At 52.1% G+C, this 22,424-nt stretch overlaps 3 protein-coding genes across 78 annotated transcripts, besides 6 other annotated features; 2 read left to right on the top strand and 1 right to left on the bottom strand.

Moving 5' to 3' along the window:
• Nucleotides 125–661: an enhancer, noted in NCBI's record as "H3K27ac-H3K4me1 hESC enhancer chr6:31628191-31628727 (GRCh37/hg19 assembly coordinates)". NCBI's record gives its function as "activates a minimal SCP1, AML or CMV promoter by ChIP-STARR-seq in primed H9 embryonic stem cells {active_cell/tissue: H9 hESC(primed)}" and the evidence as "EXISTENCE:reporter gene assay evidence [ECO:0000049][PMID:30033119]".
• C6orf47 (chromosome 6 open reading frame 47) lies at nucleotides 297–2,777 on the top strand. Its single transcript, NM_021184.4, has one exon. It carries the CDS (start codon nucleotides 1,128–1,130, stop codon nucleotides 2,010–2,012), a length of 885 nt encoding a protein of 294 aa, NP_067007.3. The 5' UTR covers nucleotides 297–1,127; the 3' UTR covers nucleotides 2,013–2,777.
• Nucleotides 662–1,199: an enhancer, noted in NCBI's record as "H3K27ac-H3K4me1 hESC enhancer chr6:31627653-31628190 (GRCh37/hg19 assembly coordinates)". NCBI's record gives its function as "activates a minimal SCP1, AML or CMV promoter by ChIP-STARR-seq in primed H9 embryonic stem cells {active_cell/tissue: H9 hESC(primed)}" and the evidence as "EXISTENCE:reporter gene assay evidence [ECO:0000049][PMID:30033119]".
• Nucleotides 789–1,083: a silencer, noted in NCBI's record as "tiled region #4681; K562 Repressive DNase matched - State 5:Enh". NCBI's record gives its function as "represses a minimal TATA promoter and a strong SV40 promoter by Sharpr-MPRA in K562 cells {active_cell/tissue: K562}" and the evidence as "EXISTENCE:reporter gene assay evidence [ECO:0000049][PMID:27701403]".
• An 87-nt stretch (nucleotides 2,778–2,864) lies between the features above and the next one.
• APOM (apolipoprotein M) lies at nucleotides 2,865–8,671 on the bottom strand. Of its 4 annotated transcripts, none has more exons than NR_045828.2 (6): nucleotides 8,524–8,671; nucleotides 4,442–4,603; nucleotides 3,777–3,850; nucleotides 3,597–3,695; nucleotides 3,352–3,450; nucleotides 2,865–3,011 (listed from the first exon to the last, which is right to left on the bottom strand). NR_045828.2 is itself a non-coding variant. In NM_001256169.2 (6 exons), exons 2-6 carry the CDS (start codon nucleotides 4,499–4,501, stop codon nucleotides 2,986–2,988), a joined length of 351 nt encoding a protein of 116 aa, NP_001243098.1. In that variant the 5' UTR covers nucleotides 4,502–4,603; nucleotides 8,524–8,671; the 3' UTR covers nucleotides 2,865–2,985. The 4 variants fall into 4 exon arrangements, 3 of the variants coding, with proteins under 3 accessions (NP_001243098.1, XP_006715213.1, NP_061974.2); NM_001256169.2 differs by having other exon boundaries at nucleotides 4,449–4,603; XM_006715150.4 differs by lacking the exon at nucleotides 8,524–8,671 and adding an exon at nucleotides 4,995–5,181.
• Nucleotides 7,806–8,385: an enhancer, noted in NCBI's record as "NANOG-H3K27ac-H3K4me1 hESC enhancer chr6:31620467-31621046 (GRCh37/hg19 assembly coordinates)". NCBI's record gives its function as "activates a minimal SCP1, AML or CMV promoter by ChIP-STARR-seq in primed H9 embryonic stem cells {active_cell/tissue: H9 hESC(primed)}" and the evidence as "EXISTENCE:reporter gene assay evidence [ECO:0000049][PMID:30033119]".
• Nucleotides 8,386–8,965: an enhancer, noted in NCBI's record as "NANOG-H3K27ac-H3K4me1 hESC enhancer chr6:31619887-31620466 (GRCh37/hg19 assembly coordinates)". NCBI's record gives its function as "activates a minimal SCP1, AML or CMV promoter by ChIP-STARR-seq in primed H9 embryonic stem cells {active_cell/tissue: H9 hESC(primed)}" and the evidence as "EXISTENCE:reporter gene assay evidence [ECO:0000049][PMID:30033119]".
• On the top strand, nucleotides 8,414–22,047 carry BAG6 (BAG cochaperone 6). 73 transcript variants are annotated; one of them, NM_001387988.1, is made up of 26 exons: nucleotides 8,414–8,562; nucleotides 9,299–9,419; nucleotides 11,448–11,565; nucleotides 11,680–11,876; nucleotides 12,111–12,164; nucleotides 12,324–12,398; nucleotides 13,249–13,484; nucleotides 14,552–14,681; nucleotides 15,471–15,668; nucleotides 15,877–16,129; nucleotides 16,473–16,550; nucleotides 16,661–16,768; nucleotides 16,881–16,993; nucleotides 17,101–17,185; nucleotides 17,960–18,246; nucleotides 18,672–18,963; nucleotides 19,130–19,299; nucleotides 19,483–19,536; nucleotides 19,653–19,755; nucleotides 19,847–19,971; nucleotides 20,137–20,283; nucleotides 20,371–20,430; nucleotides 20,547–20,690; nucleotides 20,769–20,876; nucleotides 21,429–21,575; nucleotides 21,849–22,047. In NM_001387988.1, exons 2-26 carry the CDS (start codon nucleotides 9,312–9,314, stop codon nucleotides 21,942–21,944), a joined length of 3,486 nt encoding a protein of 1,161 aa, NP_001374917.1. In that variant the 5' UTR covers nucleotides 8,414–8,562; nucleotides 9,299–9,311; the 3' UTR covers nucleotides 21,945–22,047. The 73 variants fall into 73 exon arrangements, with proteins under 73 accessions (NP_001374917.1, NP_001374918.1, NP_001374922.1 ...); NM_001387989.1 differs by having other exon boundaries at nucleotides 17,098–17,185; NM_001387993.1 differs by having other exon boundaries at nucleotides 8,414–8,651.
• Nucleotides 8,966–9,545: an enhancer, noted in NCBI's record as "NANOG-H3K27ac-H3K4me1 hESC enhancer chr6:31619307-31619886 (GRCh37/hg19 assembly coordinates)". NCBI's record gives its function as "activates a minimal SCP1, AML or CMV promoter by ChIP-STARR-seq in primed H9 embryonic stem cells {active_cell/tissue: H9 hESC(primed)}" and the evidence as "EXISTENCE:reporter gene assay evidence [ECO:0000049][PMID:30033119]".
• Nucleotides 22,048–22,424: the final 377 nt, after the last annotated feature.

Genomic DNA, 22,424 nt, shown 5'->3' with positions numbered 1-22,424 from the left:
CAAGACTCCTCATTTTTTCTTTTCTGGGAAAGCCTTTCATGAAGTCTTGGATGCGAAATGGAGGAGTGGTGGGGGATGTGGAAAAGAACCCAGGGGCAGGGGGCTGTAGGGGGCGACCGAGTTTAGGGAAGCATGAGAAACCCGGGAAAATGGGGAGCTGGGTTTATATTAAGGTCCTGGTCCTTGCTAATCTCGGTTTGGCGGTCCGGCGCGCACAGACAGCGCGGGGTATACGGGGGCGGTCTATTCGCAGGGTCCGCCCCATGAGCTGCGGCACCGCCCCCGCGGGTCCTTCCAGTCCTGGTGCAGCTGCTTCCGGGCTTCGCGGCTCCCGGCGGCTCCCCAAGGCCGCGGCCCCGACGCTGGGCCCGGGAGCGGTCCCCGCGCACAGCGCCCGGACGCGTAGGTCCCGAAGTAGGCCCGCGCTTTGCTTCGTAACTGGGGATCTCTGAGGACATCTTAGTTCTGACCTTGTGGAGGCCGCGTCTCTGCTGCGTGTTCGCGGGCCAGTCGGGCCACTTTGTAGAAATCATAGCCCTCTAAATCAAGGGACGAACGCTGCTGGCTGGAGTTTGCTGGACACTTTCATTCCACCTCCTAACAAAGAGAATTCCTATTCCTTGAGGTCCCTTGGGGCAGCAGTTAAAGACTACACGATCCAGGAGCACCTAGGACCTGGGGCCACCTTCCTGCCCGCTTTATTGGATGGAGCACTGCCTCCCCAGTTTCTGGGACACCTTGGGGTGTGGCCTTGGTGAGTGAAACTTGGGGTGCTGCCTGCTGGGAAGGAAATCCGGAAACGCAGAGAGGACTCTCTGGTGGTGACCCAGGCCTTGTCAGATCTGAGATTCTTGGAATCTCAGATTGTGGGGGTGTGGATGGTGAATGAATTTGGGTATGCCCCCCTTTACCCCAGAACTGAAGAGGAAGCAAACTACTTGCCACACTTGAGGCTGCATGACTATTCAGAGAAGGGAGGAGCCACTTCTGAATTCAGAGTAGGACTGCATCACCAGGCAAATACCTGTTCTGAGCCAGAAAGACTCTGGCTTCTGAGGAGATCCTGAGAGTCTGAGTAGTGCCAGGAAGCAGCCTCAGAATTTGGGGGCCCATTACACACCCCAGCCATGTTCCTGCGACGGCTTGGTGGCTGGCTACCTCGCCCTTGGGGCCGCCGGAAACCAATGAGGCCTGACCCGCCTTACCCAGAACCCAGACGGGTGGACAGCTCCTCGGAGAATTCAGGAAGTGACTGGGATAGTGCCCCAGAAACCATGGAAGATGTGGGGCATCCCAAGACTAAGGACTCGGGGGCATTGAGGGTTTCTGGGGCTGCTTCCGAACCAAGCAAGGAGGAGCCCCAAGTTGAGCAGCTAGGGAGCAAAAGAATGGATTCCCTCAAGTGGGACCAGCCTATCTCTAGCACTCAAGAGTCTGGGAGACTGGAGGCTGGAGGGGCCAGTCCCAAACTCAGATGGGATCATGTGGATTCAGGTGGCACCAGGAGACCAGGGGTGTCCCCTGAAGGGGGACTGAGCGTCCCTGGGCCAGGAGCCCCATTGGAGAAACCTGGTAGGCGTGAGAAGCTGTTGGGCTGGCTGCGGGGGGAACCAGGAGCTCCCTCCCGGTACTTGGGGGGCCCAGAAGAGTGTCTGCAGATCTCCACCAACCTGACCCTGCATCTTCTGGAGCTGCTGGCCTCTGCCCTGCTGGCCCTGTGCTCACGACCACTGCGGGCAGCCTTGGACACACTGGGCCTGCGTGGACCGCTGGGCCTCTGGCTACATGGCCTACTGTCCTTCCTGGCTGCCCTGCATGGGCTCCATGCTGTTCTGAGCCTACTTACTGCCCACCCTTTGCACTTCGCCTGCCTCTTTGGTCTCCTGCAGGCCTTGGTGCTGGCTGTCAGCCTCCGGGAGCCCAATGGGGATGAGGCGGCCACTGACTGGGAGAGTGAGGGGTTGGAGAGGGAAGGTGAGGAGCAGAGGGGAGACCCGGGAAAGGGGCTGTGACCGTGGGGTGGGGGCAAAGGGTGAAGAGAGTGTGGGCTTTAGGAGAAAAGTGTGAGGCATGACCCAAATTGTAAGCATAGGGACCTCAGGGATGGGGAAGAAACCCGAGTACGAGGGTGCAGGGCCCCCCTTCATACACAGGAGAGAACAGAACTATTTAGGGTGTTTGTGTTTATGGACAGTGAGGGCACTGCTCTTGGATTCACCAGCTGTTATTTTTGCTTTTACTTTTCTCCCACCTTCAGTTTTTTTTTTTTTTCCACCTCCACTTTTTAAAAGCAAAAAAAAAAAAAAGTATGATGGTGGTGAATAAAGACCAAAGGGTCCTCTCTACCTTTGAAAACTCTCCTGGGGTGGAGGAGACCAGGGCAGGATAGACAGACCTCTGCAGTAAGAGAGTGGTTGGGAAACCCAGGGTGTTCCTTGGATCTCAGGATCTGAGCCATCGAGGGAAGAGTGGGGCTGCTAGGCAAGTGGATTAGGGGGTCTGGATAGGGCCCCACAGGTGACAGGGAGCCTGCAGGGCGGATCTGGTGATCATGGGAGCCAGAGGGAGTGGGGACAGTGCAGGCAGTATTGGCAGGAGGGCCAGTGCAGAAGGGCTGGTAGCTCAGGCAGTGTGGGGGAAGCACTGAAGCCTGTAGTCCCCACTTGGGGGCTAGGGGTTTGCTCACTCAGCAATAAATAACTGTGTCACATCAAATCCTAAATATACCACTACAAAGTGAGAGTTACTGCCACTCTGTTCTTACTGACACCGTCCAGCTGGGAGTTTAGGTGGTAGAGGATCCAGGGGGAATGTTGAAATGGGAGGAGTGGGAATGACGTCTGGAGACAAACCCCAGAATGAGATGAGGATTGAAAAATTATCTTTATTATCTTGAGTGGGAGCTGGAGCTGGAAGTCTCCAGCTTCTCCCTCCAACAACTCAGCTCCCATTGTACCCATCTGGGGACTTAGATGAAGTTACAGGTCAGTTATTGGACAGCTCACAGGCCTCTGTGATGGGGGGAGGGAAAAAGAAGGACAGAAGGGAAGTCCAGGGAGAAAAGCAAAGTTGATAGTAATGGGGTGGGGGAGAACGTGTTCTTTCATTCCCTGTGTCAAAGGGGAGTCTCTAAGGCTCTTTTCCCTCCACGTATGACCCTCTGCCCCCTTTATCCAGTGCAAACTCAGAAACCTCTCTTTTGAGTAGCCCAGAACCCATCCTGCCTCCCTCAGGTGACATCACAGCTCTTAGCCACATCCCTCTGGTGACATCACACGAGCCTCTTTCACCCTGTAACACCAGAAGACTTGGTGAGTCCTAATCCTGTTTTATGAGATTTTAACCCCTTACCTTGATTCCTAGGAGTCAATAAGAAGGCTTTGGAGTCCAGGCAGGAAGTCAGGGACTTGAATTCCTCCACACACTTTTCGGGAGGATGTGGTGAGCGATCTGGAAGGGCAAGGTGGGGTCAGGCCAGTCAAAACCCCTGGAAGCACCTAGCTCTTCCTGGGAGGGTGTCATAGGACCCAGAGTGAGGAGTTCTCCTGCCCTCCCTTGTTTCCCTCCAACCCTTCCTGCCTTGTATCCCTACTCACTGTAGAGGAGAAAGCGCTGGTAACCCTGGCCTGTCTCATTCAGCATGATTCCACCTGGGCATGAGCTGGAAAAGAGCTCAGTCTTCATGTCAGGGCGGCCTGTCAAGGCAGGTGGGAGAAGTATGAGAACAGAGATGCAGAACCAAACTCAAGGGAGGGTGAGGGCTGGGAAGAACCAACCTTCAGTTCTGAGATCTGTGCTCCCTTCAGTCAGGTGGTAGATCCATTTCCGGGGCACACAGAGCCCATCTTTCCTGCAGAGGTGGTGGTGGCAAGGAGGAAAGAATGAGCATCACCCCAACCATAGTGTCCCAGCTTCTTTTTTTTTTTTTTGAGACAGAGTCTCACTCTGTTGCCCAGGCTGGAGTGCAGTGGCGCCATCTCGGCTCACTGCAAGCTCTGCCTCCCGGGTTCACGCCATTCTCCTGCCTCAACCTCGTGAGTAGCTGGGACTACAGGTGCCCACCACCATGCCCAGCTAGTTTTTTATATTTTTAGTAGAGACGGGGTTTCACTGTGTTAGCCAGGATGGTCTCGATCTCCTGACCTCGTGATCTGTCCGCCTCAGCCTCCCAAAGTGCTGGGATTACAGGCGTGAGCCACCACGTCTGGCCTGTCCCGGCTTCTATTTACTCCATTGTATTTGTTATTGAAGCCCAGCTCTCCTTGGGTTTCAAGCTACCAAGCATTGGTTAGGCACATCTTTCTCCAGAGGGCAATTAATACAGCCACTGAATTCCGTGGGCCAAGCATAGTAGATATACCAGCTAAGAGGCCAGCTCTTGGTGGGTGGATTCTCACACTTTGGGCAGAGACTGAACCCAGTGATGCTTCTGCCTCCTTACCACTCACATGCGGATGGTAGCACGAAGGTGGAGCTGCATCGGGGCAGAGCCAGCAGCCATATTGAAGACAATGTTGTCCACAGGGTCAAAAGTTGCCAACTCCTCCTTGGTGGGAGCTGCCCCTGCGATAAAGTACCACTGGCCCAAGTGGACCTCTGGGAACTGGAGAGACAATGAAGGGAGCAAAAGAGGGTGGGTTCCAGCACAGGATGGGTTCAACCTCTTCATCAGTCAAAACAGCAAGATTTAGGGGTAGAGGTGTTGGCTGCCTTCCTCTTTCCAACTGGGGATTGGATCCATGACAAAGAGTCATTAAATGACTTTTCCTCTTTGCCCCTCCCCAGTCAACCTGGGTAACCACCCCACCCCCCAATTCTGCCATGCCTCTGCATTGATGGCCACAGTACTGATATTTTTCTTCTTGCTTTCATTATCACAACACTCACACCCCCTTCCTCTCTTCCTTTCCCAAGATGGTCTCCAGTCATCCTAGGCCATCCACCCAAGTCCCTCAGAGCCTCCACCATAGGCTTCCCCCAATCTCAGTCCATACCTCCTTCCCATCCACGCCCAGAGTTGTCAGTTGACTGTGCTCAGGGCACTGGTAGATGGAGTTAAGGATAATACCATAGAAGTAGAGCAGAGCTGCCCAAATTTGGTGGAACATCTTCAGGCAGGAGGGAGCTGGTGCTCTGTGTGCCTTAACTGCTCTCTCCCCTACTGGCTGCTCAGTCCACTCTGCTTTCAGCTCCCTTGCGTTCGACCCTTGACCCTTTCACCTGCTAATGAGTAACTTCAACCTTGTTTTCCAACCCAAACCTGGATTACTTAGTGTTTGGGACTTCCTCCCCCTCTTCCGGATGCAACCACTCCATAGTACACCCTGGCATGTCCAGGGTTTCTCAGGAGTTATGAGGAGAGCTGAGCTGTCCAGGGAGAAGCCTGTGGTCTTTGAACCTGTATCTGAGCTGGTTATTTGTTGCACTGTGCAGCACTGAAGGGAAGTAGCTTGACTGGGCCTCTCATTCATTCACTTAGCAAACTGTTTTGAATCCCAAGTCCCAGTTGTTTCCCAAGAACTAGCTAATCCCCGGGGACATAAAAAAACGAATAAGACATAGCCCCTGATCTTGAAGAAGTCGTTAGAGGGAAAACTAGCTGTGTAGACAAACCATTGCAATACAACTTGGTAAATGCTTTAGAACAGGTATGATGCAGGTGCTGGGGCACGGTGGATTGCTCTCTTTAGTTTACAATTAGAAAAATATGTATACCCTGGCAGTGTTCACTGACACATTCACTCAACATTTATTACTACAAAGAGGCTATGTAATCTGGCTGTTAGAGAGGATAGATGTTGGTGTCAGGCAGAATGTGTCCAAACCCTAACTACAGGCAGGGCAGGTAGCTCATGCCTGTAATCTCAGCACTTTGAGAGGCCAAGGTGGGCGGATGGCTTGAGCCCAGGAGTTCAAAACCAGCCTGGGCTACATGGCAAAACTCTGTCTCTACAAAAAATACAAAAATTAGCCGATGTGGTGGCACACGCCTGTAGTCCCAGCTACTAGGGAGGCTGAGGAGGGAGGATTGCTTGAGCCTGGGATGTCGAGGCTGCAATGAGCCCTGATTGTGCCACTGCACTCCAGCTTGGGCGACAGAGACTCTGTCTCCAAACAAACAAAACACCACCAACCCCTAACTGCTATGTCTGTTTTTTCATCTGTAAAATTGGCAAATCATCAATCTTATAGGATTAAATGAAATAATGCACATAAAGCCCTTAGCAAAGACTTGCACATGGTAAGTCCAAAGTATATATTTGCTATAATTAATAGTAATGTTTGCAAAGCACTTAGTTTCTGGTGGGTAATAAGTTCTCAAATAATAGGCAGTAAGAATTGCCAAATAGGTTGTCCTTGGATAGCACCAAGTGACTGGAGCAGTTAATGCTGTGAGAGATGGATCTTCCTCGATAGATTATTTATTTACTTATTTATTTTTAAGACAGGGTCTCACTCTGTCGCCCAGGCATGACTTTGACTTCCCCGGCTCAGATGATTCCCGAGTAGGAGGTATAGGTGCACGCCATCACGCCTAGCTAATTTTTTGTAGACACGGAGTTTCACCATGTTGCCCCAGGCTGGTATTAAACTCCTGAGCTCAAGCAGTCGGCCCACCTTAGCCTCCTAAAGTGTTGGGATTACAGGCATGAGCCACCACACCTAGCTTGATAAATTTATATCCCATGGACTGCCACAAAAAATTTGCCGAGGGCTGAGGCTTGCGATTTAGTTAAAAAACAAACAAAATTTGGGTGACCAGTATATTAGAGTTTATTAATACTGTTCTATTTTGGTGTAATGTTTGAATTTTTTTTTTTTTTTTTTTGAGATGGGAGTCTCGTTCTGTTGCCCAAGCTGGAGTGCAGTGGCGCGATCTTGGCTCACTGCAATCTCCACCTCCCGGGTTCAAAGCAATTCTCTGCCTCAGCCTCCCAAGTAGCTGGGATTACAGGCGCCCGCCACCACGCCAGGCTAATTTTTGTATTTTTAGTAGAGATGGGGTTTCACCATTTTGGCCAGGCTGGTCTTGAACTCCTGACCTCGTGATCCACCCGCCTCATCCTCCCAAGTGTGAGTCACTGCGCCCGGCCGAAAATTTTTGTAATAAAAAGCTAAAATGTGGTTAGGCACAGTAGCTCACACCTATAATCCCAGCACTTTGGGAGGCCAAGTCTGCAAGACCAGGCTGGGCAACATAGCAAGACCCCATCTCTATAAAAATAAAATTAGCCAGGTGTGGTGGTGTGCATCTGTGGTCCCTACTAGGGAGGCTGAGGTGGGAAGATCGGTTGGGCTCGGGAGGCAGAGGCTACAGTGAGTTGTGATTGCGCCACTGCACTCCAGCCTGGGCGACAAAGCGAGACCCTCTCTCAAAAAAATAAGCTAAAATGTTAACAGCTTTTTATTGGGGCAGTAAAGTACAAGTGCTCGATCTGGAGTCCTGTAGGCCTGGATTTGTCAATTCTGACACTTATGTTCGTCTAAGTGTACTCACTTAAAAAATGTTAAAAGCTCGTTAAAAGGCTTTTTAAAATAATACACAAAACCCGTAGTATATGGGCTGGCACAAGTGCTCATTAAACAGCTGCTTATTAGAACTCTTAACTAAAATATAACCAGGACCTGGGTATAAACTACGAATCCCAGAAAGGTTGGACACCCCAACAGCGATGTGTCTTTCTGGAGGACTCGCAGTTTCGCGGGGCCGAGGCCCTTGGCCCAGGGCAGGTTAAGAGAAGAGGGCACGGAGAGGCGGTAATGCCTCCACCCCCGGCCTTCGGAAGCACGCTGGCCGGCCTTTAAATTCCCCACGGTCAGGGTCTTGTCTTTCTGTCCACTCGGACTCCATTTGCTCCCAATTCTCAAACTCGGAAGCGCCTCTTTTCTTGACAAGTCGTGCAACTTAGTAGCACGTTTACTTTTCCTAAAACGTGTCATGTCCCCTTGGCCACACACCGACGAATGTGACGCCCACAGCCCTTAAAACGCCCACCCGGCAGAACCGAAATCTAGCCCAACCAAGCAACCGAGAACAAAATTGACCAGTGCCGCCCCCAAACGCCTACTGAAAGAGTAACTTCCGGAGGCACAGAAGAAAGGGCGCAGCGAGGGCAATAGGGTGGAGAAGAGTTTTAGCTGGCTAGGACAGTGCCGCCTGAAATTATCAGCCTGCCAAGATTTAAACATAGATGAATGTGGCATAATCCCCCATCTCCAAAGTCCAAGGTCCATACGACCGTCCATAGCCCCTCTCGAGGCAGTGGTAGAGTCCCAGCTGGTGACTGTTTTTCAGGCATTTACGGTAGCCACCTCAATCTTCTAGCGCTCAAGCGCGCGCACAGACGTGAACGCCGCCAGAGGGGGGAGGGGGTGGGGCGATGCTTAAGTGTCCACGCATCCGTAGTGCGACGCACGCAGGCGTAGTACGGTCCCCCGGGCGACAGCGGTGGCGGCTCCTCGGGGTGCTCGGCTCCCTCCCACCTAGGCCGGCCCCGGCCCGACTCGCCCTCAGAAACTCACTGTTTGGGGCTGCGGACTTTCTCGTCGTGCCCCACAAAAGTAAAGCTTGGGGACCTGGGGGGAGCCGGAAGTATCGCTTCGAGATCCCCAAATACTATCGGGGAAACGGAAGTGGCCGTCGGTGGCAGGTTTGGGGGAGACCGGAAGTGACGGTCCGTGGGGAAGTCGGGGGCGGAGCCGCGGGGTGGTGGGTGTGTGTGTGTGTGTGTGTGTGTGTGTGTGTGTGTGTGTTTGGCTGTGGGTTAGTTGTGCCGTTCTGCTGGAACACCGTGGGAAGGCAGTAGACGCGGGCAGTCAGCTAGCAGGTCTGTCGCCCCGTGAGTGCCGTTTCGGGTCTATAGTGAGTTAGGAGGGTTCGATGGGCGTGGCGCGCGTGCGCGAAACCACTTTCTCCGCAGAGTGTGGGGCGACCACCGCTTTCGCGTTGTCCCAGGATTTTCCGACCTCTGGGGCGCTTGTCCTGCCGTGACCGGTGATGACACTAGTCTCTGGTCTCGTGCTTCCTTCCTAATCTGACTGGCTCCCTGCTTATTGTGATTGGCGTCGTGGAGCCCCTCCCACCTCTCGTCCTCCAGCTCCCTAAGCCGTCGATCTCCTGCCCTTTGTGTTTCTCTCCCTGTGCCCCGGAATCAGAAGGGGGATGGGGACAGGTGTGAATGTGTGTGTGTGCAGGAGAAACTTTTTAGGTATTGGGGCAGGGATTAATGCTAGGGAGTCTTTCGGGTACACTCTGGTCTGGGCAACAGCGGGCCTTCCTTCCTTCGTTCTTCTTTAGAGACCTGTCGGCCATGGAGCCTAATGATAGTACCAGTACCGCTGTGGAGGAGCCTGACAGCTTGGAGGTGTTGGTGAAGACCTTGGACTCTCAAACTCGTACCTTTATTGTGGGGGCCCAGGTGAGACACCTCACTAGTTCTGGAAGACACCTTTAGCTTTTCCTCGTTTAGGCCCCTTAGCCTGAGAGATGAGCTTGATTTTCTGGTCACCAGATTTTCTTTTTTTTTCTTTTTTTTGAGATGGAGTCACGCCCTGTCTTCCAGGCTGGAGTGCAGTGGCGCGATCTCGACTCACTGAAACTTCCACCTCTTGGGTTCAAGCGATTTTCCTATCTCAGCCTCCTGAGTAGCTGGGATTATAGGCGTGTGCCACTATACCCAGCTGATTTTTGTATTTTTAGTAGAGACGGGGTTTCACCATGTTGGTCAGGCTGGTCTCGAACTCCTTACCTCAGGTGATGTGCCCTCCTCGGCCTCCCAAAGTGCTGGTATTACAGGCATGAGCCACCGCACCTGGCCTCAGATTTTATTTTTATTGATCCCTTTGTTCGTATTCCAGTAGAACGTTTTCTGATGTTTTGTGAGTGAGGCTGATTTTGTTCTGTCCTCCACATGGATAGAACTTAATGCAGAGGGAAATACAGAGGAAGGAAGAATCTGTGTGTCATCATCATGGGTGGACCCCAACCCAAAGGGACAGGCATGGCTCTGGCCTTTGGGAAGGGAAACAGCACAGGAACCCTAAGCAAGTGTGTCTTACTGATAGACATTGGTCAGGTCTATGCTGTGTTCTTAAAGGGTAGAAATCAGAACCCATAATGGAGATAGGTCCTTGATAGACTGTTGAGTGAAATTACTAATTTTTATGGCATAGCTTGAGTCTCTTGAGCTTAAAGCCTTGGACATAGCTATCTGTGTCTTTACTCCTGTAATACTTGGAGACAAATTGCATGTGGGGTGGTCCATGGTTTTCTAAAATGTGATATTACCTGGATATAAGAAAGCCATATATAGACTTGTGATTAGATGTATATAAATACTCTGGTACTTCCCAAGAGTCAGTTTGTAGTTAGGAAAAATATTTCTCTTTTTGCTTTTTTTTTTTTTTTTGAGATGGAGTTTTGCTCTTGTTGCCCAGGATGGAGGGCTGGGGCGCAATCTCAGCTCACTGCAACCTCTGCCTCCTGGGTTCAAGCAATTTTCCTGCCTCAGCCTCCTGAGTATCTGGGATTACAGACGACGCCTACTACCACGCCCGGCTAATTTTTGTATTTTTAGTAGAGACAGGGTTTTACCGTGTTGGCCAGGCTGGTCTTGAACTCCTGACCTCAGGTGATCCACCTGCCTCGGCCTCCCAAAGTGCTGGGATTACAGGTGTGAGCCACTGTGCTGGGACCTTTTTTGCTTTCTTATCTTCTTAGTCTTTCTTCATTAACCTGATACCAGACCCCATCTTCTTTGCCATTTTTTAATCTTGGAAATCACAGGAGAGTCTGGTAAATAAACTGGTATCATCTTGTGTTTGGAAAGGGGTCACTGATGTCTCTAGACACATACTCCCTTGGATGCCAGACAGATAATATAATGTCCATGTGTTTTTTTTTTGTTTTTCATCCGTGTTATTTTTCCTGGATCTATAACCTGAGCTTCATTAAGTTTATTTATTTAATTTTTTGAGATGGAGTCCCTCTCTGTCACCCAGGCTAGAGTGTAGTGATGCGATCTCGGCTCACTGCAACCTCCGCCTCCCGAATTCAAGTGATTCTCTTGCTTCAGCCTCCCTAGTAGCTGGGATTACAGGCGACCACCATGCCTGGCTTATTTTTTTGTATTTTTGGTAAAAAAGGGGTTTTACCATGTTGGCCAGGCTGGTCTCGAACTCCTGACCTAATGTGATCTGCCTGCCTTGGCCTCCCAAAGTGCTGGGATTACAGGTGTGAGCCACCGCGCCAAGCCAAATTTATTGTCTGTATTTTGACAGCTGTTACTTTAGTTTAAGGGTTTGCACAGTAATGATCTCACGGTCAAGACAAACGGGTAGTGATTCTGTGGTGGTTTTTACCCCTCACCTCCACAACTCGGTTGTCTGTCTTTGTTCTTCCTCTTTCCTCCATTCTTTCCATTCCTGTGCATGCCTCTTCTTTTCAGATGAATGTAAAAGAGTTTAAGGAGCACATTGCTGCCTCTGTCAGCATCCCATCTGAAAAACAACGGCTCATTTACCAGGGACGAGTTCTGCAAGATGATAAGAAGCTTCAGGAATACAGTAAGGGGGCTGGGGAGGCAGTTCAGAGGTTGGGGCTACTGTCTGGAGGGATGAACTGAGGCCATGGGTTTACCTGTTCATACTATGTTTTGGTGTGTGTCTATTTTTCTGCAGATGTTGGGGGAAAGGTTATCCACCTGGTGGAACGGGCTCCTCCTCAGACTCACCTCCCTTCTGGGGCATCTTCTGGGACGGGGTCTGCCTCAGCCACTCATGGTGGGGGATCCCCCCCTGGTACTCGGGGGCCTGGGGCCTCTGTTCATGACCGGAATGCCAACAGCTATGTCATGGTTGGAACCTTCAATCTTCCTGTAAGCTTATGTTCCACAGGGGAGGGCTTTTGTGGGTAGCTTTGGTTGTGGTAGCACCAGGGAATTAATAAGATAGATGCTTCCATCTTTAGATTGGGTTCAGGGGGCCCTGTGGTGTGCTATTGGTCTCAGTCTTTAAGGAGAAAAGGAGGTAGGGCTCCAGGGAATGAATTGGAGGTGTGGAGGCCTTAGTGTTGGCTTCTCCCAGAACAACTTCCCTTACCCTTTCCCCAGAGTGACGGCTCTGCTGTGGATGTTCACATCAACATGGAACAGGCCCCGATTCAGGTATTGAGGGGCCTCCGAGGGTCAGGGAAGGGGATCTGGGAGAAGGAGGCTGGGAGGTGGGGTGGACCTGGCTGAGAGATGGCTGGGACCTGATTTAGTAGGTGGTAGAACTCATGGCTTCATCTGTAACCTACCCTGATAAACCTTCTCTCATTGTAGAGTGAGCCCCGGGTACGGCTGGTGATGGCTCAGCACATGATCAGGGATATACAGACCTTACTATCCCGGATGGAGGTAAGTGGGCAAGGCTGGCTAGGGTCTCTCTCCACCCTCCCTCTCCCTTTTCTCTCAGCCTGGGAGTTAGGGCTTCACTGGCCACATCCACAGGGTTTGGCCTTCATAATCTAGTCTTCTCTGCAGTATTCATTCTTTTGGGCAGAAAAAGTATCTTTGTGAGGCTCTCTCATTTCTGCCAATCCTCTTGGTGCCTGGTATCTGGGGAGTTTGTTTCAGACTTAGTCTCATGGCATCTCTTTTCAATTAAAGGATTCTACTCTCTTAACTTGTGGAGGCTGGGAAACCAACTTGTGGAGGAAAGGAAACCACAATCTCTACTCTTTGTTAGAAATTTATTTACAAATATTACAGATGCTGTGGCCGGGTGTGGTGGCTCCTGCCTGTAATCCCAGCACTTTGGGTCGCCATGGCAGGGGGATAACGTGTGGTCAGGAGTTCCAATCCAGCCTGGCCAACATGGTGAAACCCTGTCTCTACTACAAGTACAAAAATTAGTTGGGTGTGGTGGCACGCGCCTGTAGGCCTGGCTACTTAGAAGGCTGAGGCAAGAGAATTTCTTGAACCTGGGAGGCGGAGGTTACAGTGAGCTGAGATCATGCCACTGCACTCCAGCCTGGGCAACAGAGCGAGACTCTGTCTCAAAAAAAAAAAAAAAAATTACAGATGCTTATTATGCATCTAATTTGTGTCAGTCTTATGCTAGTTGCTAGCGAGTCGGAGATAAAATTGCAGAGCCATGCCTTCAGGGAGTCTAGTTAGGATACTTTCTCTGTTCAGTCTCCTGTAGAGTAATCCTCTGCAGCAGTCTTACCCTGCCTTTGGTATCCTGACTCTCCCCTACCTTCAGTGTCGAGGAGGGCCCCAACCGCAGCACAGTCAGCCGCCCCCGCAGCCACCGGCTGTGACCCCGGAGCCAGTAGCCTTGAGCTCTCAAACATCAGAACCAGTTGAAAGTGAAGCACCTCCCCGGGAGCCCATGGAGGCAGAAGAAGTGGAGGAGCGTGCCCCAGCCCAGAACCCGGAGCTCACTCCTGGCCCAGCCCCAGCGGGCCCAACACCTGCCCCGGAAACAAATGCACCCAAGTGAGAGATGGAGGGAATCTTTAGTGGGTGGGGAATCCTAAGTGAAGTATGGGGAGAAGGAAATGAACCATGGCAAGGGAGGGAAAGGATTACTTGGAGGTCTTAGTTGAAGGGTTAGCATTGAGGGGCGAGGAGGGGCTCTCTCGGTATAGGTAAATGACGCTAGGACAGGCAGCTGAGAAGAACTGCTGCTCTCCCTACGGCAAGGAAATCCAAATGGTATCTCCTGAGCCTGATCGGAATTCTCCTCTGAGTTCACGAAGGCCTGCTCTCTTTCTTAGAATTAGTCTTTCACCATTGTAGGTGCAGGATTGTGGTGGGGAGGGTGGGAGCAGTTCATTTTCTTCTCCCTATCCTCTCATGGGTGGGAGTAAAGAATAGAAGCTTTGGCTGGGTGCAGTGGCTCATGCCTGTAATCTCAGCACTTTGGGAGGCAGAGGCGGGCAGATCACCTGAGGTCAGGAGTTCGAGACCAGCCTGGCCAACATGGTGAAACCCTGTCTCTACTAAAAAATACAGGCCGGGCACAGTGGCTCACGCCTGTAATCCCAGCACTTTGGGAGGCCGAGGCGGGTGGATCATGAGGTCAAGAGATCGAGACTATCCTGGCTAACATGATGAAACCCCGTCTCTACTAAAAATACAAAAAATTAGCTGGGCATGGTGGCGGGCACCTGTAGTCCCAGCTACTCGGGAGGCTGAGTCAGGAGAATGGTGTGAACCCAGGAGACGGAGCTTGCAGTGAGCTGAGGTCGCACCACTGCACTCCAGCCTGGGTGATAGAGCGAGACTCTGTCTCAAAAAAAAAAAAAAAAAAAAAAAAACAAAAATTAGCCGGGTGTGGTGGCAGGCAACTTAATCCCAGCTACTTGGGAGGCAGAGGCAGGAGAATCGTTTGAACCTGGGAGGCGGAGGTTGAAGAGAATAGAAGCTCTGCTGGTCCAGAGAAGGATTGGGCCAGGGCTCTGGGAGACCAGGGAGAAAGAGGGCACATGTGGTCCCTGTTGACTGTGAGGGTGGGAATCTGAGGAAGGCTTTGGCTCATTGCCCCTTGGGTTTGTCCACAGCCATCCTTCCCCTGCGGAGTATGTCGAGGTGCTCCAGGAGCTACAGCGGCTGGAGAGTCGCCTCCAGCCCTTCTTGCAGCGCTACTACGAGGTTCTGGGTGCTGCTGCCACCACGGACTACAATAACAATGTGAGCCCTTTGATGGCCCTGCCCTTTCTCCTCAGCCCCAGTACTCCCAAAACAGAACAGGCTGAAATGCAGATAACTCTTTCCCTCCCTGGAAAAACATTGCAACAGGGCCAGGTGCAGTGGCTCACGCCTGTAATCCCAGCACTTTGGGAGGCCAAGGTGGGCGGATCATCTGAGATTGGGAGTTTGAGACCAGCCTGGCCAACATGGTGCAACCCCATCTCTACTGAAAATATAAACATTAGCTGGATGTAGTGGTGCACACCTGTAATCCCAGCTACTCAGGAGGCTGAGGCAGGAGAATCGCTAGAACTCGGGAGGAGGGGGTTGCAGTGAGCCGAGATTGCACTACTGCACTCTAGCCTGGGTGACAGAGCGAGACTGTCTCAAAAAACAAAACAAAACAAAAAAACACACATTGCAACAAAACAATTTCTCTCTAAACCTGTAAGTGATTTTGTCCTCCCTTACAGAGAAGGTGATAATCTTTGCTGTAAGCACTGTCCTCGTATCGTACCCCTTGTGCCCCTGAATGAATTTAGAAAATGTAAAGTACAGGAGATCAGTATATGATGACTTACTGATTCATAGTAGTGTTTTAATAGGATGTTCCTTATGTGAATAAGATATAATTTATTTGCAAAGATTTGGTCTACATGTAAACTTCCAAGGATATAACTGAAAGTTTTGGAGGACATGGTATTCTCAGTAGGCATTATTGCTTTTATTAGTGAGATGGACTCCAGCTTGATATTTTCTGCCTTTTTGTGTTTGGCTGGTTGTGCGCAGCACGAGGGCCGGGAGGAGGATCAGCGGTTGATCAACTTGGTAGGGGAGAGCCTGCGACTGCTGGGCAACACCTTTGTTGCACTGTCTGACCTGCGCTGCAATCTGGCCTGCACGCCCCCACGACACCTGCATGTGGTCCGGCCTATGTCTCACTACACCACCCCCATGGTGCTCCAGCAGGCAGCCATTCCCATACAGGTGGGTTAGGGGGAGTCTGGCCTGAGGGAGAGTGAGGGGTGTTGATAGAGTGACCCAGGGTAGCTACTGGGCCTGAAGGAGGTTAGGAAAGGAGGAGACTGGAAACATGGTGATGAAGGCTGGAGATACTTTAGAGGTTTATCATGAGGTTTTCTTGGTTAGGCTCTTGTATTTTTCTCACATCTGCCTGTCCATCTGTCTTTTTCAGATCAATGTGGGAACCACTGTGACCATGACAGGAAATGGGACTCGGCCCCCCCCAACTCCCAATGCAGAGGCACCTCCCCCTGGTCCTGGGCAGGCCTCATCCGTGGCTCCGTCTTCTACCAATGTCGAGTCCTCAGCTGAGGGGGCTCCCCCGCCAGGTCCAGCTCCCCCGCCAGCCACCAGCCACCCGAGGGTCATCCGGATTTCCCACCAGAGTGTGGAACCCGTGGTCATGATGCACATGAACATTCAAGGTGAGAATAGTTGCTGGCGAGAAGAGCAGGATCAGCATGATGAGGGAGGTTCATGCTGAGGTGTGAGGGAACAGGGTGGGGAAGGGAGAGGCACATGCTGGTGGTGGTAGCCTGGGGACCAGAGCAGAAGCTTAAGTAGACAGATGTGGGGGGTGTGGGGGTTGGTTTGTCTTTGGAGGTGTGTTTGTGTGGTGAAGGGAGTACCTCTCCCTGTTTAGATGGAGGGAAAGGCAGGCTTTCTGATTGGGGGATTATGGGCCTGAAGTATGCCTGATCTCAGAAGGATATAGTTAGGCCTTGGCCCTACCTACCTCAGGGCCACTGTCTCTGTCTCCCTGCCCAGATTCTGGCACACAGCCTGGTGGTGTTCCGAGTGCTCCCACTGGCCCCCTGGGACCCCCTGGTCATGGCCAAACCCTGGGTAAGAGTGAGGGCATCAGGGCAGGCTGAGCTCTGGGTAGAGAAAGGGAAGGGCTGAGTGGGTGGGTTGAAGGGGTCCAGGTTCAAGGTTACATCAGACCCGCCCCCCAGGCTCCACCCTCATCCAGCTGCCCTCCCTGCCCCCTGAGTTCATGCACGCCGTCGCCCACCAGATCACTCATCAGGCCATGGTGGCAGCTGTTGCCTCCGCGGCCGCAGGTAATGACCTGGAAGGGGAGGCTTGGGAGGTAGGGCACAGTCCATGGTGGCAGCTGGCTGGCAAGGGCCTGGCCCTCAGCCCTCTTCGGTCTGTCTCTTCTGCCACCCACAGGACAGCAGGTGCCAGGCTTCCCAACAGCTCCAACCCGGGTGGTGATTGCCCGGCCCACTCCTCCACAGGCTCGGCCTTCCCATCCTGGAGGGCCCCCAGTCTCTGGGACACTGGTGAGCAAGGGTCGGGGAGTTCTAGTGCGTAACAGTCTAGGGAGAGACTCCTGTGGTGGTGCATGGAAGGGCAGGTCTGAAATTCTCCCTTGCTCTCTATCCAGCAGGGCGCCGGTCTGGGTACCAATGCCTCGTTGGCCCAGATGGTGAGCGGCCTTGTGGGGCAGCTTCTTATGCAGCCAGTCCTTGTGGGTGAGTTTTCATTCTTCCCCACTCAGAGTTTAAACTCCTTTCCTAGTCTGCTCACTGGCACTTTCCAGTTCTTTCCATATTTTCTTGGTTCCTGCTTTCCTGGAATGGGGCTGCTGTAGTGTCTTGTGTCTTCAGGTTTCAGCTTTTTTTTTTTTTTTTTTTTTTTTTGAGATGGAGTCTCACTCTGTTGCTAGGCTGGAGTGCAGTGTACAATCTTGGCTCACTGCAACCTCTGCCTCCCGGGTTCAAGTGATTCTCCTGCCTCAGCCTCCTGAGTAGCTGGGACTACAGGTGCACGCCACCACGCCCAGCTAATTTTTTATGTTTTTAGTAGAGAAGGGGGTTTCACCATGTTGGCCAGGATGGTCTCGAACTCTTGACCTTGTGATCCACCCACCTTGGCCTCCCAAAGTGCTGGGATTACAGGCTTGAGCCATCGTGCCCGGCCAGCTTTTTTCTTTTTTTTTTAAGTTACAGAGTCTTGCTCTGTCACCCAGACTGGAGTGCAATGGTGCAATCCAGTGAGTTAAAGCTCACTGTAACCTTGAACTCCTGGGCTCAAACAGTTCTCCCACCTCAGCCTCCTGAGTAGCTAGCAGTACTAGCTCCTGGCTAGTAATTGTCTTTTTTTTTTTCTGGTAGAGATGGGGTCTTGCTATGTGGCCTAGACTCCTGGGCTCAAGCAGTTCTCATGCCTTGGCCTCCCAAAGTTGCTAGGATTACAGCCAAGAGCCACCATGCTCAGCCCAGCTTTCTTTTTTTGGTTTCTTACAGCTCAGGGGACCCCAGGTATGGCTCCACCGCCAGCCCCTGCCACTGCTTCTGCCAGTGCTGGCACCACCAACACAGCTACCACAGCTGGCCCCGCTCCTGGGGGGCCTGCCCAGCCTCCACCCACCCCTCAACCCTCCATGGCTGATCTTCAGTTCTCTCAGCTTCTGGGGAACCTGCTAGGGCCTGCAGGGCCAGGGGCTGGAGGGTCTGGTGTGGCTTCTCCCACCATCACTGTGGCGATGCCTGGTGTCCCTGCCTTTCTCCAAGGCATGACTGACTTCTTGCAGGTGAGTGGCTGGCTTGCCATTCACCTCATCTTCCTGTCCCCCGGCCCAGCCAGGCAGTGGTACCTTCTTGCCATTATATAACCACTGGGTAAGAGCCCCTAGTGACATGTTAGGGGAAGGGGCCCTGGGAATTCATTGACTCTGAACCTTTCATTTTAAAGATGAAGAAAATGAGGTTTAGAAAAAGAAAGTATAGTAATTAGTGTCACTGCTTTCTGACAGCCTGTTCAGAGGAAGAGGTAGGTAAGTTGTGCTGCCTGACTCTGTTAAATACCTACCATACTTCTGCTTTAAGCAGTGAAGATCAGAATGTAACTCCCCATCTTCCCAGACCCGTTGGTTTGTGCCCTCTTGATGCCGTATTATTTCCGTGTGTCTTCATTCTCACCTCACTTTCTGTTCTTTGTTCTTTCTTTATTTGCCAGGCAACACAGACAGCCCCTCCACCACCCCCACCTCCTCCACCCCCACCACCTGCCCCAGAGCAGCAGACCATGCCCCCACCAGGCTCCCCTTCTGGTGGCGCAGGGAGTCCTGGAGGCCTGGGTCTTGAGAGCCTGTCACCGGAGTTTTTTACCTCAGTGGTGCAGGGTGTGCTCAGCTCCCTGCTGGGCTCCCTGGGGGCTCGGGCTGGCAGCAGTGAAAGTATTGCTGCCTTCATACAACGCCTCAGTGGATCCAGCAACATCTTTGAGCCTGGAGCTGATGGGGCCCTTGGTGAGCAAAAAGGATGCTTTGGCTTGCTCCAGGAAGGGGCAGCCAGAGGAATGTAGATGGCCTTGGTTTAGGGGTGTTGCCAAGGTGGGATGAGGTTGATGATCTGGTTGTGGGTGGGCAGGCCAGGTGGTAAAGGCCATTGCTAACATCTGCCCTTGTCCCCCAGGATTCTTTGGGGCCTTGCTTTCTCTTCTGTGCCAGAACTTCTCTATGGTGGACGTAGTGATGCTTCTCCATGGGCATTTCCAGCCACTACAACGGCTCCAGCCCCAGCTGCGATCCTTCTTCCACCAGCACTACCTGGGTGGTCAGGAGCCCACACCCAGTAACATCCGGGTAAATGAAGGCCAGGGGCCCCAGAACTCTCCTCTTTTGCACATTTTATTCCTTATTTCTGACTGCTTCTCTGCCAGGTAAAGCTCCAATTGCCCCCACACAAGCCCTGGACTTGTTGGGGTCGAGGTGGAAGTCTTGGGAGGACTGAGGCTTTGAACTAAACCTGTTCTGTTTCCTCCACAGATGGCAACCCACACATTGATCACGGGGCTAGAAGAGTATGTGCGGGAGAGTTTTGTGAGTAACCCTTCTCTATTCCTTTCCTCTCCTGGGTCTGGTCAAGGCAGCTGCCTCCTCCACTCCCAGTCTTATGATTCTTGATTTTGGGATCTTTGTGTTATCTTGTCTCTCAGTCCTTGGTGCAGGTTCAGCCAGGTGTGGACATCATCCGGACAAACCTGGAATTTCTCCAAGAGCAGTTTAATAGCATTGCTGCGCATGTGCTGCATTGCACAGGTCAGGGGCTGGCCAGGCGGGGGCAAGTGGGGCCTGTTGCATGTGCAGGGCTGCCACGTGCCAGCATTCCCTCCTTGTATTTTGCCCACAGATAGTGGATTTGGGGCCCGGTTGCTGGAGTTGTGTAACCAAGGCCTGTTTGAATGCCTGGCCCTAAACCTGCACTGCTTGGGGGGACAGCAGATGGAGCTTGCTGCTGTTATCAATGGCCGAATTGTAAGCACCACCTAGCCCCAGATCCTTAGCCTTTTGTTTCCTGAGGTTTCCATTCTCTGCAGTTTTCATTTTTCTTTTCTAAACTGACATTCTGTAACCTGGATCTAATCTATTTCTAAAGGTGGTTGAGGGTTTTGTGTTCTAAATCTGCTTTCTGTCCCTCAGCGTCGTATGTCTCGTGGGGTGAATCCCTCCTTGGTGAGCTGGCTGACCACTATGATGGGACTGAGGCTTCAGGTGGTACTGGAGCACATGCCTGTAGGCCCTGATGCCATTCTCAGATACGTTCGCAGGGTTGGTGATCCCCCCCAGGTAAGGGACCTGTTGGGCGATGGGGTCAGGGTACTTGAGAGAACTGGAGAGATCTGAGAGGAAGTATGGTGTTCTTTAATTTCACAGCCACTTCCTGAGGAGCCAATGGAAGTTCAGGGAGCAGAAAGAGCTTCCCCTGAGCCTCAGGTACTCTAGAGAGGGGGAGGTTGAGGGGCCAGATAATGTGGAGTGGAGGGCTGGGGGAGAAAGGTTTGGAGGCTAAAAATTCTGAAGCCTGGCTCTTCCCGCCATCTGACACCCAGCGGGAGAATGCTTCCCCAGCCCCTGGAACAACAGCAGAAGAGGCCATGTCCCGAGGTCCACCTCCTGCTCCTGAGGGGGGCTCCCGGGATGAACAGGATGGAGCTTCAGCTGAGACAGAACCTTGGGCAGCTGCAGTCCCCCCAGTAAGTGTCAGGAAGTAATCCAGTGGGTCATGGCAGCTGAAAGTCAAGGACATTACTATTTTCTCTTTTCCTCCCCAGGAATGGGTCCCTATTATCCAGCAGGACATTCAGAGCCAGCGGAAGGTGAAACCGCAGCCCCCTCTGAGTGATGCCTACCTCAGTGGTATGCCTGCCAAGAGACGCAAGGTTGGTTTTCCTCTTCCCTAAGCCTCTCTCTCTATCCAGGTTTCCCCGTCATGCCTGGAATCAAACTATGTAGAGATGGTGGGAGCTCTTGTTATTCAGTCTCCCCTCCCCTCGTTTAATGAGGAAACTTTTTCTGGGATTCAGACTTGCTCTTGGTTGTTGCATAACCATACAGGACTTGACCTTAGTCTGTTTGCTAGCAGTCCTGTATTAGTTGCTCAGCTGCCTAATCCCCATGTGCTTAGATCCCATTTTCCTTTAAGGTGGGTTTCCTCTTGTGGATTACCTAGCTCTGAATCCCGGATGGCTTGACCCCTTCTGCCTTTCGTTTTGAAGAGCACGTTCAAGCACATTCACTTTAGTTTTGGCTAGTGCCAAAGAGAATTAGGAAGGCATTTCTGCTGTAAAAACCACATCCTGGACTCTTAATTTCCCCTCTCTCCACTAGCATGGAGACTCAGTGGAGTGGTTGACTCATGGAAAGGGTGAGCCGGATGGTGGCACTGGATCTGACGTTGATCCTCTTTTCCCTCCCAACCCCCTGTCCCCCAGACGATGCAGGGTGAGGGCCCCCAGCTGCTTCTCTCAGAGGCTGTGAGCCGGGCAGCTAAGGCAGCCGGAGCTCGGCCCCTGACGAGCCCCGAGAGCCTGAGCCGGGACCTGGAGGCACCAGAGGTTCAGGAGAGCTACAGGCAGCAGGTGCCACCTTGAAGCAGAATAGGGATGGTCTAGTGGGAGGGGTTGGGCTAGGGTCCCTCTTCCCTGGATCCCTTCAGCGATGAACTGGTCAGCCTGGTGCTACCATTTGTTTTCCCCTTTGGCATCTGGGAAGGCTTGACAGTGCCACCCCGGGCTATTTGACAGTGTGCTTGGGGGGGGAAATGTTAGCTTCTGAGGGATGGCCTTGTGTGCTTGCTGGGATCATGGGGACTTGGCCAGCGTTTCTCCAACCTGCTTACTTTTTCTCTTTAGCTCCGGTCTGATATACAAAAACGACTGCAGGAAGACCCCAACTACAGTCCCCAGCGCTTCCCCAATGCCCAGCGGGCCTTTGCTGATGATCCTTAGCTCTTTGCTCTATGGCCCTTCCTCATCAGGGGACCGTTTCCCCCCTCTTCCTTCACAGTATTTAAGAAATAAAAGTCGGATTTTTCTGGCTGCTTTCTCTCTACATTGTCTCCATTAGGTAGTGTGTCCCTTAATCTTGTGTGAACTTTTTTAAATTAATACTTCCTTGGAACACTGTTGTGTTCTACTCAGCACGCTAAATTGTACAAGCCAGTTTTGATGTTTGTTTTTTTTTTTTTTTGAGACAGAGTATTGCTGTCTCCCAGGCTGGAGTGCAGTGGCCCGATCTCGAGCTCGGCTCACTACAACCTCCACCTCCCGGGTTCAAGTGATTCTCACTCATGCCTCAGCCTCCTGAGTAGCTGGGACTACAGGCGTCCGCCACGACGCCCGGCTAATTTTTGTATTTTTAGTAGAGACAGGGTTTCACCATATTGGCCAGGCTGGTCTCGAACTCCTGACCTTGTGATCCACCCGCCT

The sequence above is a fragment of the Homo sapiens genome, chromosome 6, assembly GCF_000001405.40.
Source record: "Homo sapiens chromosome 6, GRCh38.p14 Primary Assembly".
Taxonomy (NCBI): Eukaryota; Metazoa; Chordata; class Mammalia; order Primates; family Hominidae; genus Homo; species Homo sapiens.
This window is presented reverse-complemented; position numbering and strand designations above follow the sequence as displayed.

What these genes read in the sequence shown, in the direction of transcription:
- C6orf47 (NM_021184.4), top strand. Translation starts at nt 1,128, where the DNA reads ATGTTCCTGCGACGGCTTGGTGGCTGGCTACCTCGCCCTTGGGGCCGC.
- APOM (NM_019101.3), bottom strand. Translation starts at nt 5,108, where the DNA reads ATGTTCCACCAAATTTGGGCAGCTCTGCTCTACTTCTATGGTATTATC. An exon ending in TGGGCGTGGATGGGAAGGAG is followed by an intron (nt 4,604 to 4,994) that starts GTATGGACTGAG and finishes TTGTCTCTCCAG; the next exon opens with TTCCCAGAGGTCCACTTGGG. An exon ending in CACAGATCTCAGAACTGAAG is followed by an intron (nt 3,696 to 3,776) that starts GTTGGTTCTTCC and finishes CTGCCTTGACAG; the next exon opens with GCCGCCCTGACATGAAGACT.
- BAG6 (NM_001388012.1), top strand. Translation starts at nt 9,312, where the DNA reads ATGGAGCCTAATGATAGTACCAGTACCGCTGTGGAGGAGCCTGACAGC. An exon ending in GCATGTGCTGCATTGCACAG is followed by an intron (nt 19,756 to 19,846) that starts GTCAGGGGCTGG and finishes TTTTGCCCACAG; the next exon opens with ATAGTGGATTTGGGGCCCGG. An exon ending in GGGTTGGTGATCCCCCCCAG is followed by an intron (nt 20,284 to 20,370) that starts GTAAGGGACCTG and finishes TTAATTTCACAG; the next exon opens with CCACTTCCTGAGGAGCCAAT.